Source organism: Homo sapiens, chromosome 14 (genome assembly GCF_000001405.40).
Source record: "Homo sapiens chromosome 14, GRCh38.p14 Primary Assembly".
Lineage (NCBI taxonomy): Eukaryota > Metazoa > Chordata > Mammalia > Primates > Hominidae > Homo > Homo sapiens.
In genome coordinates this window covers 50238581-50251464 of record NC_000014.9, presented here as the reverse complement: position 1 = coordinate 50251464, position 12884 = coordinate 50238581, and the positions used below count along the sequence as shown (strand labels likewise).

Here is a 12884-nt window from a genome sequence, read left to right as displayed (position 1 = left end):
CCCTTTGAATAAACTATTTACCCCTATATGTTTCTGTACCTCCTCTTTTAGGCCAATAACTCTTAGATTTACCCTTTTGAGAATGTTTTCTAGATTTTGTGGGCATGCTTCATTGTTTTTTATTCTTTTTTCTTTTGTCTCATCTGACTATGTATTTTCAAATAGCCTGTCTTTCAGCTCACAAACTCTTCTGCCTGATCAGTTCTGCTATTGAGACTCTGATATATTCTTCAGCATGTCAGTTGCATTTTTCATTTCTAGAATTTCTGTTTAATTCTTTTTAATTATTTCAATCCCTTTGTTAAATTTATCTGAAAGAATTGTGAATTCTTTCTGTGTTGTCTTGAATTTCTTTGAGTTTCTTCAAAACAGCTATTTTGAATTCTCTGTCAGAAAGGTCGTATATCTCTGTTTCTCCAGGATTGGTCTCTGGTGCTTTATTTAGTTTATTTGAGGAGGTTATGTATTCCTGGATGGTGTTGATGCTAGTAGATGTTCTTTGGTGTCTGGGCATTGAAGAGTTGGGTACTTATTGTAGTCTTCACAGTCTGAGCTTGTTTGTGCCTGTCCTTCTTGGGAAGGCTTTCCAGGTATTCAAAGGGACTTGGGTAACAAGCCCAATAACATTGTGTCTTTTGTAGACTTGTAGAGGTACCACCTAAGTGGTCTTGGATAAGATCCAGAAGAATTCTCTGGATCACCAGGCAGAGACTCTTGTTCTTTTCCCTTACTTCCTCCCAAATAAATGGAGTCTCTTTCTGTCTGTGCTAAACCCCCTGGAACTGGGGGGTGTGGTGATGCAAGCACTCCTGTGGCCACCACCACTGGGACTGCACTGGGTCAGACCTGAAGCCAGCCCAGCACTGGGTCTTGCCCAGGGCCCTTCCCTTCAGGGCAGTAAGCTTCCTCAGGCCCCAGGCGTGTCCAGAGATGCTGTCTGGAAGCCACAGATTGGGGTCAAATACTTTAGTAGTTTACCTGATGTTCTGTTCTACTGCGGATAACTAGCACTCACACTACAATACAAAGTTCTTCTCACTCTTCCCTCCCCTTTCCACAGGCAGAGGGGCCACTCCCTGTGGCTACCACCACCTTTGGTCCACAGGGTTTCTGCCAGGCCACCACCAATATTCACTTAAAGCCCAAGGGCTCTTCCATCAGCTTGTGGTGAAAGCTGCCTGGCCTGGGACTTACCCTTCAGGGCAGTGGGCTCCCCTCTGGCCCAGGGTAGTGCTAGAAATGCCGTCCAAGAGTGTTGGCCTGGGCCAGACACGGTGGCTCATGCCTGTAATCCCAACACTTTGGAAGGCCAAGACGGGTGGATCACCTGAGGTCAGGAGTTCGAGACCAGCCTGGCCACCATGGCGAAACCCCATCTCTACTAAAAATACAAAAATCAGCTGGGCGTGGTGGAGTGCACCTGTAATCCCAGCTACTTGGAAGGCTGAGGCAGGAGAATCGCTTGAGCCCAGGAGGTGGAGGTTGCAGTGAGCCGAGGTCACGCCACTTCACTCCAGCCTGGGCAACAGAGCGAGACTCTGTCTCACAAAAAAAAAAAAAAAAAAAAAAAAAAAAAAAAAAAGGAGTGTAAGCCTTGACTTGGGGACCCCAAGAACCTGCTTGTTGCTCTACCTCACTGTGGCTGAGCTGGTACCTAAGGTGTAAGACAAAGTCCCCTTTACTTTTATCTCTGCTTTTCTCAAACAGAAGGAGTCTTTCACTGTAGCCACCACAGCTGGGAATGTGCTGGGTCACACCTGAAGCCAGCACATCTCAGAGTCTCATCCAAGGCCCATGACGCACTCCTTGGGTATCGCTGCTGGTTATTCAGGGCCCAAGGGCTCTTTAGTCAGCAGGTAATGTATCCTGCTAGGACTGGGTTTTTCCCTCCAAGGCAGTAGGTTCCCTTTTGGCCCGGGGTGGGTCTAGAAATGTTGTTCAGGAGCTAGGGCCTATAATGCGGGCCTCACAACTCTGCCCAGTGCCATATCCTACTGTGGCTGAGCTGGAATCCAAGATGTAAGACGGTCCTCTTTACTCTTTGCTCTTTGCTCCTTAAGCAGAAGAAAGGAGTCACTTCTATTGCAGCTGCCTTTGTTTGGGGGATGGATGATGCAAGCACTCTTTTAGCTATGCCGGCTGGTATCTCCCTAGATCACATGCCACCCTAGTCCACTGACTATAAGCCCAGCCTAGTGCTAGTAGCTGAGGAGTTGGAGTCCTTGTGCCCTAGACTGTATTTCAAGTTTATCTAGGACCCCAGAGCTTTTCAGCCCACGGTGGTGAGGCTTGCAGGGAAACTCAAGTTCTGACCACTGGGATGGATGCTTCCTGTCTAGCTGGGGCAGGTCCAAATGCTCCCTCCATGTGCTGGCGCTGGCTGAGCCCAGCCCAGCTTTATTCTCCACTGTGACAGGGCAGCACTGAGTTCAGTGTAAAGGCCCCCAGCCACTGTACCCTCCCTTTCCCAAGTGCATAGGTTCTGTCTCCACACCACATGGCTGGCTGCTGCTAGGGGGTGAGGGAGGGGTGGCATTGGCGATGCAAGACCATCTTTTCTGCCCTCCTCAATGCCTCTTTCAAAGATATGAAGTCAAAACCAGCCACTGTGATTGCTCACCTGATTTTTGGTTCTTGTGACGGTGCTTTTCTGTGTGCAGATAGTTAAAATTTGGTGTTCTAGCAGCCGAACCAATGTTTGTAGGCTTCTTTTCCACCGTCTTGCTCCACTCACTCCCATATCTGATTCTTACTTGGAAATTCTTACAGCTAAAAAATCTCTTGTCCAGATTCCCTGCAGGATTCTATAGGGAAGATCACTTATCTTTATCATACAACCTTTCACTCTTACTGTTATAATTCTTATTTACCTCTCTACGAATGAATAGTATAGCTCTGTGATTTCAGGCAAGTTACTTAATCTCTCTGTGTTTCTTTGCTGTTAAATATAAACTGTGTCAGCCTCTTAAGAGTTGTTTTGAGGATTAAATGAGGTAATTCCTAGCACAGAGTAAGCACTTACTAAATAATAGCTATTACTATTATCTCTCTTCAGCCAGCTGAAGTCTTAGAGGGCAGTGCCTTCATAGTGTTCTTTGTATCTTCTGCAAGTACTTATCTGATTTGTCCCAGAATTAGTAAAAAATGTTTAATATTGTTTCCTGATTTCTTGAGCCTTGCTGGTGTGTATAAGATAGAATTTTTCACACTGGGCTTCCTTGGACAAGTTTCATAAGAGGTGCTTTTTTGTAGTTCAAAAACATTGGATTCAAATTTCATCTGTAAATTTTAACTGTTTAAAAAAACAACAAAAATCTGTGAGCTCAAATGTTATAAAATAGAATTTTAAGTAATAAAGATTATCAGTGTCTTTACAGTTGTTCACACCTATAATCCCATCATTTTGGGAGGCTAAGGTGGGAGGATCACTTGAGGCCAGGAGTTTGAGACCAGCCTGGGCAACGTAGGGAAACCTTGTCTCTACAAAAAAAAATTTTCTTTAATTAGCCAGGCGAGGTTGTGTACACAACCTGAGCAACAGATCAAGACTATCTCAATTAAAAAAAAAAAGACTCTCATTTTATTAACATGCTGCTAAATTTATTTTTATGCTTTTCCTATCATCTTTTGAAATTGAAGATGATCCTGATATTGAAGGGTAAACTCTTAAAAACAAACTGCAAAACAAGAACTTGTTGCCATTTGCAAATATTTCTCTCCATAAATTTTAATTGTGTGAATTTTAAAAACACAAAAATAAGTAGAATAGGATACAGGAATGCAACTGACACATAACCTCTGCTTTCATTGATTTGTATTACTCAGATGAGGCTTATTGTTGCCATTGATTGATTTTTATAATAAATTCATTCTATAAATTTAAATAAAAATATACCTGTTCTAATTAAGTGTGGATTTACCTACTACCTTTGGAAAGAGCAGACATTGATAAATAACTTACTTGTTTTTATGTATTTCTTTGATAAGCGTTTGTTACACTATTGTTACGTAATAGGTTTTAGGCTCTAAGCTAACAATATAGGTTTGACAGGCTACAACTGACAGCCTTTGGTTAAACATAAACTCATTGGGTTTCCATATAATTGTGCATTTAGAAGAATACTTTATTGCTTTAAGACTTTTTGGAAACGCTGACTTGTAAAGTATCCTATGTCTTTGAGTCAGCTGACTCCCATCTTTTACTTTTGCAGGGGCCCAGCTGGAGTAAGAGCCCAGGCCCTGGATAGAGATGGAAATCTGGTAGAAGATTTTGTATTTGATGCAGGAGTTGGGGATATTGGAAATCGCATTCTTCATGTGAGAAATGCACCTTCTCCTGCTGCTACTTCTTCCATTGCAATTTCTGGAATGATTGCAGATGAAGTACAACAAAGATTTGAATTATAAATAATGAAAGGAGCTAGGTATGCACTGTAATCTTCATGTCAGCAACAAGAATGTACTAATTGCATTCTTTAATTTAAAAAATGGTTTTTAAACTTTAGTTTTTAGGTCAAAGATAACCACTGCATTGTTAAAATGATGTAACATAGAAATAATAATTTTCTACAAAAATTAGCCAGGCATGGTGGCGCATGCCTGTAATCTCAGCTACTCAGGAGGCTGAGGCAGGAGAATCAATTGAACCGAGCAGACGGAGGTGAGCTGAGAGCTGAGATTGCACCACTGCACTCCAGCCTGGGTGACAGAGCAAGAAAATAATAATAATAATAATTTTCAAAATGTTAGGCTGGGGGCCGTGGCCAGCACTTTGGGAAGCCAAGGCAGGTAGATTGTAGCCCAGGAGTTTGAGAACAGCCTGGGCAACATGGCAAAACCCTGTTTCTACACAAAGTTAGCTGGGTCTGGTGCCTCTGTAGTTCCAGCTCCTCAGTAGGCTGAGGTGAGAGGATCACTTGAGCCCAGGAGGTCTAGGCTGCAGTGAGCTTATGTTCATGACACTGCATTCCAGGCTGGATGATAGAGCAAGATCTTGTCTCAAAAAAAAAAAAAAAAAAAAAAAAAATCCAGCCTGGGCAACATAGTGAATGAAACCCCATCTCTACAAAAAATACAAAAATTAGCTGGGCATGATGGTGTGTGCCTGTAGTCCCAGCTACTTGGGGGCTGAGGCAGGAGGATCGCTTGAGCCCGGGAGATCAAGGCTACAGTGAGCTGTGTTCATGCCACTATACCCCAGCCTGGGCAACAAAGTGAGTCCCTGACTCAAAAAATAAAAACAACAACAAAAAATAAATTCCATGCTTATTTACTTTGCGAATAAAGAGGCAAGGTACAGTTTTATCTGTCCGAATCCCTGACTTTTATTTATTTTTTTTTTCAGACGGAGTTTCACTCTTGTTGCCCAGGCTTGAGTGCAATGGTACGATCTTGGCTCACTGCAACCTCTGCCTCCCGGGTTCCAGCGATTCTCTTGCCTCAACCTCCTGAGTAGCTGGGATTACAGGCGCCCACCACCATGCCTGGCTAATTTTTTGTATTTTTAGTAGAGACGGGGTTTTGCCATGTTGGCCAGGCTGGTCTCGAATTCCTGACCTCAGGTGATCCACCTGCCTCAGCCTCCCAAAATGCTGGGATTACAGGTGCGAGCCATCATGCTCAGCCCTGAATCCCTGACTTTGTTAATGACCTGTCCTTACCAACCATGACCTAGAGAAGATTTGGCTTTTTAAGAGTTTTGGAGAAAGATGGCATAAAAATAGATTATTTCCTTAAATCAATTTTTTAGCATTACGCTACCTAAGCTCGTTTGGTCTCTCATAGACAAGAAAATACATTATATTGTAGGTTACATTCTTTTAATTTTGAAGAGTCACAAAACTCACATTATTTAGAGCAACAATATTTGTATTTGGAAATTAAAAATTCATGATTTCAAGAAAATACATAAAATTTACATTTTTGAGTAGTTTGAATAAGTTTCTATCTTAATTATAATATTTGTAGGAAATAACAAAACAAACTCAAAGCCTTTATTATTTCCAGTCTCTTTGTAACTGATGTGGTATGGTATCATCATGAAATCTAAACAGTGGTACACTGAGTGGTTGTCCTGTTCTTCAATCTCTGTGGCTGAGAACTGAAATAACTTAGAAGAGACAGATTTTTATGAGAGCAGTTTTAGAATCCTGACACTGATGTATAGAACTCCAATTTAAAAAAGTTATTTATCTATTATATCTCTGATCTTTAGTCACACTAAGGCTCTCAAAATGTTGGCCAAGATTGGTAATGATTCATACGTACTTGATTTTTCAGGGCTCCTATAAACTTGTATAGGGATATTTTTCCATTTTTGATAAATATCTAACTTTGAGGCATTCACTTTTGTAAACCGCGAAAGTGCCTTACATTCACCTCATGAGTATTTTAAGTTGATGCCCAGTGCTGTGGTATATCCTGTATATATGTGTTTTGTGGTATCTATCGAAATTATTCTTATAATTTAGAAAGTTAGAAAATAGAAATTGTAAATGAAAATGTGGCGACCTGACTGCAGAACTTTGAGTACTGAACCACATTTAGGTGAGGCATTTTCATCCATTCTCTCTGATTTGCTCTCTCAGGATTCATCTTCTACTGTGTATGTCTTCTTTCCTCTTAGCTCTCCAAAGCTGTATGATGGATGGGTGAGAAGGATGTGCATTTTGGTTGATAGGAAAAATGTTTCTGTTTTCTTCCTTTTCCCCTCACTTCAAGCATTGATGATTACATTGATTGAGCTACCTCATCCATTAATTTGAAAGGCTACACTTCATCAGCTCATGTTTAAGAAGTAGCACATCCCAGGTAAACAGAGTAGGCCATTATTCAACTCTTAGGATGAGTATATTAAAAGCATTCAGATATCAATGACAGAAGAAACAAGCCCTAATGTTTCTTTATAACAGCTGATTCCTGCAAGAAATGCAAACACAGGATATTTTTCTGTTCCATTACAAGATTACTAAGAGATGGAAAATATTATCATTCTGTATTTTGTCAGTAGTACGATTGCATACATACTAAGTTGTAAACATTGAATTACAAAAAATGATTGTCCTAATTGAAGCAGTCCTCAATCCATTTGAGTCTGTACAATACCCTGAAAAGGAAACAACAGGTGCTGGAGAGGATGTGGAGAAATAGGAACACTTTTACACTGTTGGTGGGACTGTAAACTAGTTCAACCATTGTGGAAGTCAGTGTGGCGATTCCTCAGGGATCTGGAACTAGAAATACCATTTGACCCAGCCATCCCATTACTGGGTATATACCCAAGGGACTATAAATCATGCTGCTATAAAGACACATGCACACGTATGTTTATTGTGGCACTATTCACAATAGTAAAGACTTGGAACCAACCCAAATGTCCAACAACGATAGACTGGATTAAGAAAATGTGGCACATATACACCATGGAATACTATGCAGCCATAAAAAATGATGAGTTCATGTCCTTTGTAGGGACATGGATGAAATTGGAAATCATCATTCTCAGTAAACTATCGCAAGAACAAAAAACCAAACACCGCATGTTCTCACTCATAGATGGGAATTGAACAATGAGAACACATGGACACAGGAAGGGGAACATCACACTCTGGGGACTGTTGTGGGGTGGGGGGAGGGGGGAGGGATAGCATTAGGAGATATACCTAATGCTAAATGACGAGTTAATGGGTGCAGCACACCAGCACGGCACATGTATACATATGTAACTAACCTGCACATTGTGCACATGTACCCTAAAACTTAAAGTATAATAATAAACAATATATATATATATATATATATAAAATACCCTGAAAAATAAAAATGAAAAATTTGTTGAAAGTGTTTTGAATATGTAGGTTATTCTGCTTGTAAAACGTTTTATATGTATGTCAATAGGGTTTTTTTGTTTAATACTGATATAATAAAGTTTTATGTATTTCTGACAGAAGAAATGTATATTAATATTTAAAATATTTTAATGAGCCTTGGTGTTGTAGAGAACATATTTTTTAGTTCCATAAAAACTTTTATGCAAATAAATTTTTTTATGTGTAAAACATAAACTGTTTGCTTTAGATAGATAGCAGCCAACCTTTTTAAAAAACTCATTTCTGTGTTAGTATATAATACAAAATGAGGTTGAGTCATTTATATTTTGGGTAAAAAGTGGAGCATTTTAGATTTTAACTTCAGAGTGTTTGTGAGGAACTCTTGATGTACCAGCAAGTATATTTTTGGTGTTTCATGTTACGTAGCTTAACTCTTTTATCCATACATATATGTGTATATCAAAGTCCTTCCCTTGATCCTCTCAGCATTAGCACTGTTTGGGGAGTTGCCTTTACTGTTGGCAGAATTCCACTTTCCCTGAGGCCATTTGGAAATCTACCTAGTAGCCTGTGGGATAACCTTAACTCTTAGAACTTTCTTCAAAGGATGGTGGTGAGAATGGGGTATACTGCCAGGCCCTGGCCTACGGGAGTTTGTAGGGCCTACTTTTGGAGGCAATCCAACCCTGATGGCTGTACCTATGAGCTATCCCTGTAAACACAGGAGACATGGTGTCTATATTGTTTAAGGACTGGCTCTGCCCTCCTGGGCCCTTAATCTGTGTCTAGACTTCTTGGTCAGAGGTTTCCTCATCTTTCTGCGCATACACTATTATCTAAAGATCTTGTAAACATTTTTGAGTTGTAATCGTAAAGTCAGTTTCTAAGCTTTTCTAACACACTCAAAGGGAGTTTTTGAAATCTCTTCATCAGGGCTTAAGGTAGAAGGACAGGGTGAAATGGTTGGGAAAGCAAAAGCTGCCTCGAGATGTTTTCAAATAGTTTGTACTCATTAAATAGCTTAAGAATGGAAATAAACCCTGAAGCCCTGAAGGGAAGAACAGTGTTGATACCAACCAACTCTACTTTTCTGGCCTCAAATCCTAGAAAGTATTGTGGGTTTGTTGTTGTTGTTGATGTTGTTAATTGCTTGTATTTTCTGCTTATGGGAAGGATCTCACATTAAAGTTATCTTATTTTAAGTTTCTTTTGTCCCTGGGATAAAATGAGAAAATTTACCTTTTAGATATGGCAAGAGATGGCAGGTCTTGGGTTGCTCAGGAAGCCCAATTTTGAATATTAGGAAAGACCTGAGGGACAATGATAACAGAGGGACCTCTCTCACTAGAGAACCTTGAATTTCAGCCAACTTCTGCTTAAAACTGTATCTTTAGAAAAACCTCTTTTAACTTTGTTGCTCTGAAGCACAATGAAATGGCTACAGCAGTGGTTGTTTCTTTTACGCCTTTCAGGTTTAATTTTCTGTAAATTTGTCCACTGGGAATATAAGAGATGTCTTTTAGGGATATCAGTTTATTTTTTAATTTTTATTTATTTTTCTCTTTTCTTTTCTTTTTTTGAGATGGGGTCTTGCTCTGTTTCCCAGGCTGGAGTGTAGTGGGACCACCTTGGCTCACTGCAACCTCCGCCTCCTGGATTCAAGCGATTCTCCTGCCTCAGCCTCTCGAGTAGCTAGGATTACAGGCACGCGCCACCACACCCAGCTAATTTTTTATGTTTTTGGTAGAGATGGGGTTTCACCACGTTGGCCAGTCTGGTCTGGAACTCCTGACCTCAAGTGATCCACCCACCTTGGCCTCCGAAAGTGTCGGGATTACAGGCGTGAGCCACCACTCCCAGCCTTTTTATTTTTTTTTTAAGACAGAGTCTCACTCTGTCACCCAGGACCCAGGCTGGAGTGCAGTGGCATGATCATAGCTCACTGTAGCCTCAACATCCTTAGTAGAGACGGGGTTTCACCATGTTGGCCAGGCTGGTCTCGAACTCCTGACCTCAGGGTATCCACCTTCCTTGGCCTCCCAAAATGCTGGGATTATAGGCATGAGCCACTGCACCCAGCCTTTCTTAGATTCTTGATCAGTCATTCCAGCTGGGACCTCCTGGATCCTTCTAAATACTCAAGTAATCTTCCTGCTTTAGCCCCCTGAATAGCTGAGACTACAGGTGTGCATCTCCATGCCCAGCTAATTTTTTTTTTTTTTTTTTTTTGAGGAGACAGGTTTCACTATTTTGCCCAGGATGGTCTGGAACTCTTGGCCTCAAGCAATCTTCTTGCCTTGGCCTCCCAACGTGCTGAGATTACAGGCATGGGTCGCCACACCTGGCTGTGATATCAGTTTATAATAATAGCAGGTTCTTTAGTTTGTTTGGGTTTTTGTTGTTGTTTTGGTCTCTGAGTAGCTTCCCAAATCACAGGGGCCACGTACTAATTGCTCTTTCCCAGAATGCCTAGATCCTTAACCTTTGCCTATGTTTTTCTTAGATGCTTTTTTTTTCCCTTTTTTTTTCTTTTTGAGACGGAATCTCACTCTGTTGCCCAGGCTGGAGTGCAGTGGCATGATCTCAGTTCACTTCAACCTCCGCCTCCTGGGTTCAAGCAGTTCTCTTGCCTCAGCCTCCTGAGTAGTTGGAACTACAGTCACACACCACGATGCCCGGCTAATTTTTGTATTTTTAGTAGAGATGGGGTTTCACCATGTTGGCCAGGCTGGTCTCGAACTCCTGACCTCAGGGTATCCACCTGCCTTGGCCTCCCAAAATGCTGCGATTATAGGCATGAGCCACTGCACCCAGCCTTTCTTAGATTCTTGATCAGTCATTCCAGCTGGGACCTCCTGGATCCTTCTAAATACTCAGAACCAAGCATGTTGGTTATGTTACAGGCCAACAGTAAAAGGTTGTCTTCTGACATCCAACTTTGTGCTTTGGAATTTAGGGATATAAAGATGCTTTTTGCTTCTACTTTGCATGTTAGAATTTTGTGGTTGGTAGTGAACTTTTGAATATACTTTTATTTTTGAATTCTCTCCAGAATTACTTGGTAAGTTTTCTGGAATTAAAGAAAAAGCCTAGTGTTAAATGTTATTTTAAAAGAGTTGATGCGACATTGAGGATTTCAAGGTTCTACCAGCATTTCTAATTGAGAGAATAGTAGTTTCCTCTGGAAGGAAACTTCCTATGAAAGTCATATAGTGATGGCATTTATTCTAAGAGTGGATATGGTAGGTGAGAACCACAGAGTTGAAGGGAATCTGGAGGGTCATTCTAGGCTACTCAGCTTCCAGAAATCACATCAATGGATAACACCAAAGAATCACACTGTTTTTTCAAGTAGAGAGTAAATGATTATATATTTGGGTCAAAAAACTGAAGTTTGGTTATCAGTGAATATAGTAATCACAGAACAAAACAACACTTTGTTGTGAGTTAGTGATATAAACTAACACAGTAGTATAAACCTACCCCAGAGAGAGGGGGTTTGCCCTGTTTGGTTTATTATTTTGGGTTCAGTTGGAAGAGAATAGAATCCATTCTAGCTAAACAAAAATAAATTTATTTTGGGCCAGGTGTGGTGACTCATGCCTGTTGTCCCAGCACTTTGAGAGGCTGAGGCAGGAGGACTGCTTAAGGCCAGGAGTTCGAGACCAGCCTGGATGGCATGGCGAGACCCTCTGTCTACAAAAACAAAAACAAAAAATTAGCCGAGTGTGGTGGCATATGGCTGTTAGTCCTAGCTATCTTTTTTTTTTTTTTTTTAAACGTAGTCTTGCTCTGTTGCCGAGGCTGGAGTGCAGTGGCACAATCTTGGCTCACTACAACCTCTGCCTCCCAGGTTCAAGCAACTCTCCTGCCTCAGCCTCCTGAGTAGCTGGGATTACAGGCATGTGCCACCATGCCCGGCTAATTTATTTTGTATTTTTAGTAGAGATAGGGTTTTGCCATGTTGGCCAGGCTGGTCTCAAACTCCTAACCTCAAGTGATCCACCCGCCTTGGCCTCCCAAAGTGCTGGGATTACAGGCGTGGTGAGCTACCTTGCCTGACCAGTCCTAGCTATCTGAAAGGTTGAGATGGGGATCCCTTGAGCCCAAGAGTTCAAGGCTGCAGGGAGCTATGATTGCACCACTGCACTCCAGCCTGGGTAACAGTGAGACCCTGTCTAATGATAATAATAATACATTCATTCAGAGAATACAGAATCATTGGAAGGCTAATGAAGTAGATTCTGGTTGAGCTTTCAGGAACAAGTCCCAAAGCCACACCACAGAACCAGGCCACTAAGAGAGTAATTTCAAAACAATTATGATCCACAGAGAACTGCCACACCATGAGTCTAGCCATTGCTGCTGCCACATAAAACTAGTGACTGAATGGTGCTTGCTAACAGAAATATCAGAGTTGCGGCTTCCAACTCACTTCTGCCTTCTTCTTTTTTTTTTTTTTTTTTTTTTTTGAGAGGGAGTCTCGCTCTTGTCACCCAGGCTGGGTTGCAGTGGTGTGATCTCGGCTCACTGCAACCTCCACCTCCTGGGTTCAAGCTATTCTCCTGCCTCAGCCTCCTGAGTCGCTGGGATTACAGGCGCCCATCACCACGCCCGGCTAATTTTTGTACTTTTAGTAGGCAGAGTTTCGCCATGTTGGCCAGGCTGGTCTTGAACTCCTAACCTCAGGTGATCCATCCACCTCAGCCTCCCAAAGTGCTGGGATTACAGGCGTGAGCCACCGTGCCTGGGCTCACTTCTGCCTTCTATATCTCACTCTAGTGTATCTGATAGACTGGGAGCTATACTGAACAGATTACGAATACGTTCGTTGTTGACAGCTCAACTTCATTAACTGTCAGGAATTTGAAGGATTCTATTGCGATAACATAAATAACAAAAATTTGAATGATGCTTTTTTTCAGTCACTAGTTTTATGTGGCAGCAGCAATGGCTAGACTCATGGTGTGGCAGTTCTCTGTGGATCATAATTATTTTGAAATTACTCTCTTAGTGGCCTGGTTCTGTGATGTGGCTTTGGGACTTGTTCCTGAA

The 12884-nt window shown here is 41.5% G+C and overlaps 1 protein-coding gene across 11 annotated transcripts in view; it reads left to right on the top strand.

Annotated features, from left to right (window-relative positions):
• The window catches only part of L2HGDH (L-2-hydroxyglutarate dehydrogenase), a 69796-nt gene extending 60765 nt beyond the window's left edge, over positions 1 to 9031 (top strand). For 6 of the 11 annotated variants that reach the window (NM_024884.3, NM_001425214.1, NM_001425215.1 and 3 more), the window contains one exon: positions 4212 to 9031. In NM_024884.3, the coding sequence (NP_079160.1) occupies positions 4212 to 4407 (196 nt within the window). In that variant the 3' untranslated portion in view covers positions 4408 to 9031. The remainder of the gene's footprint in view (positions 1 to 4211) is intronic. The other 5 variants (NM_001425212.1, NM_001425217.1, NM_001425218.1 and 2 more) reach the window with 1 other exon arrangement.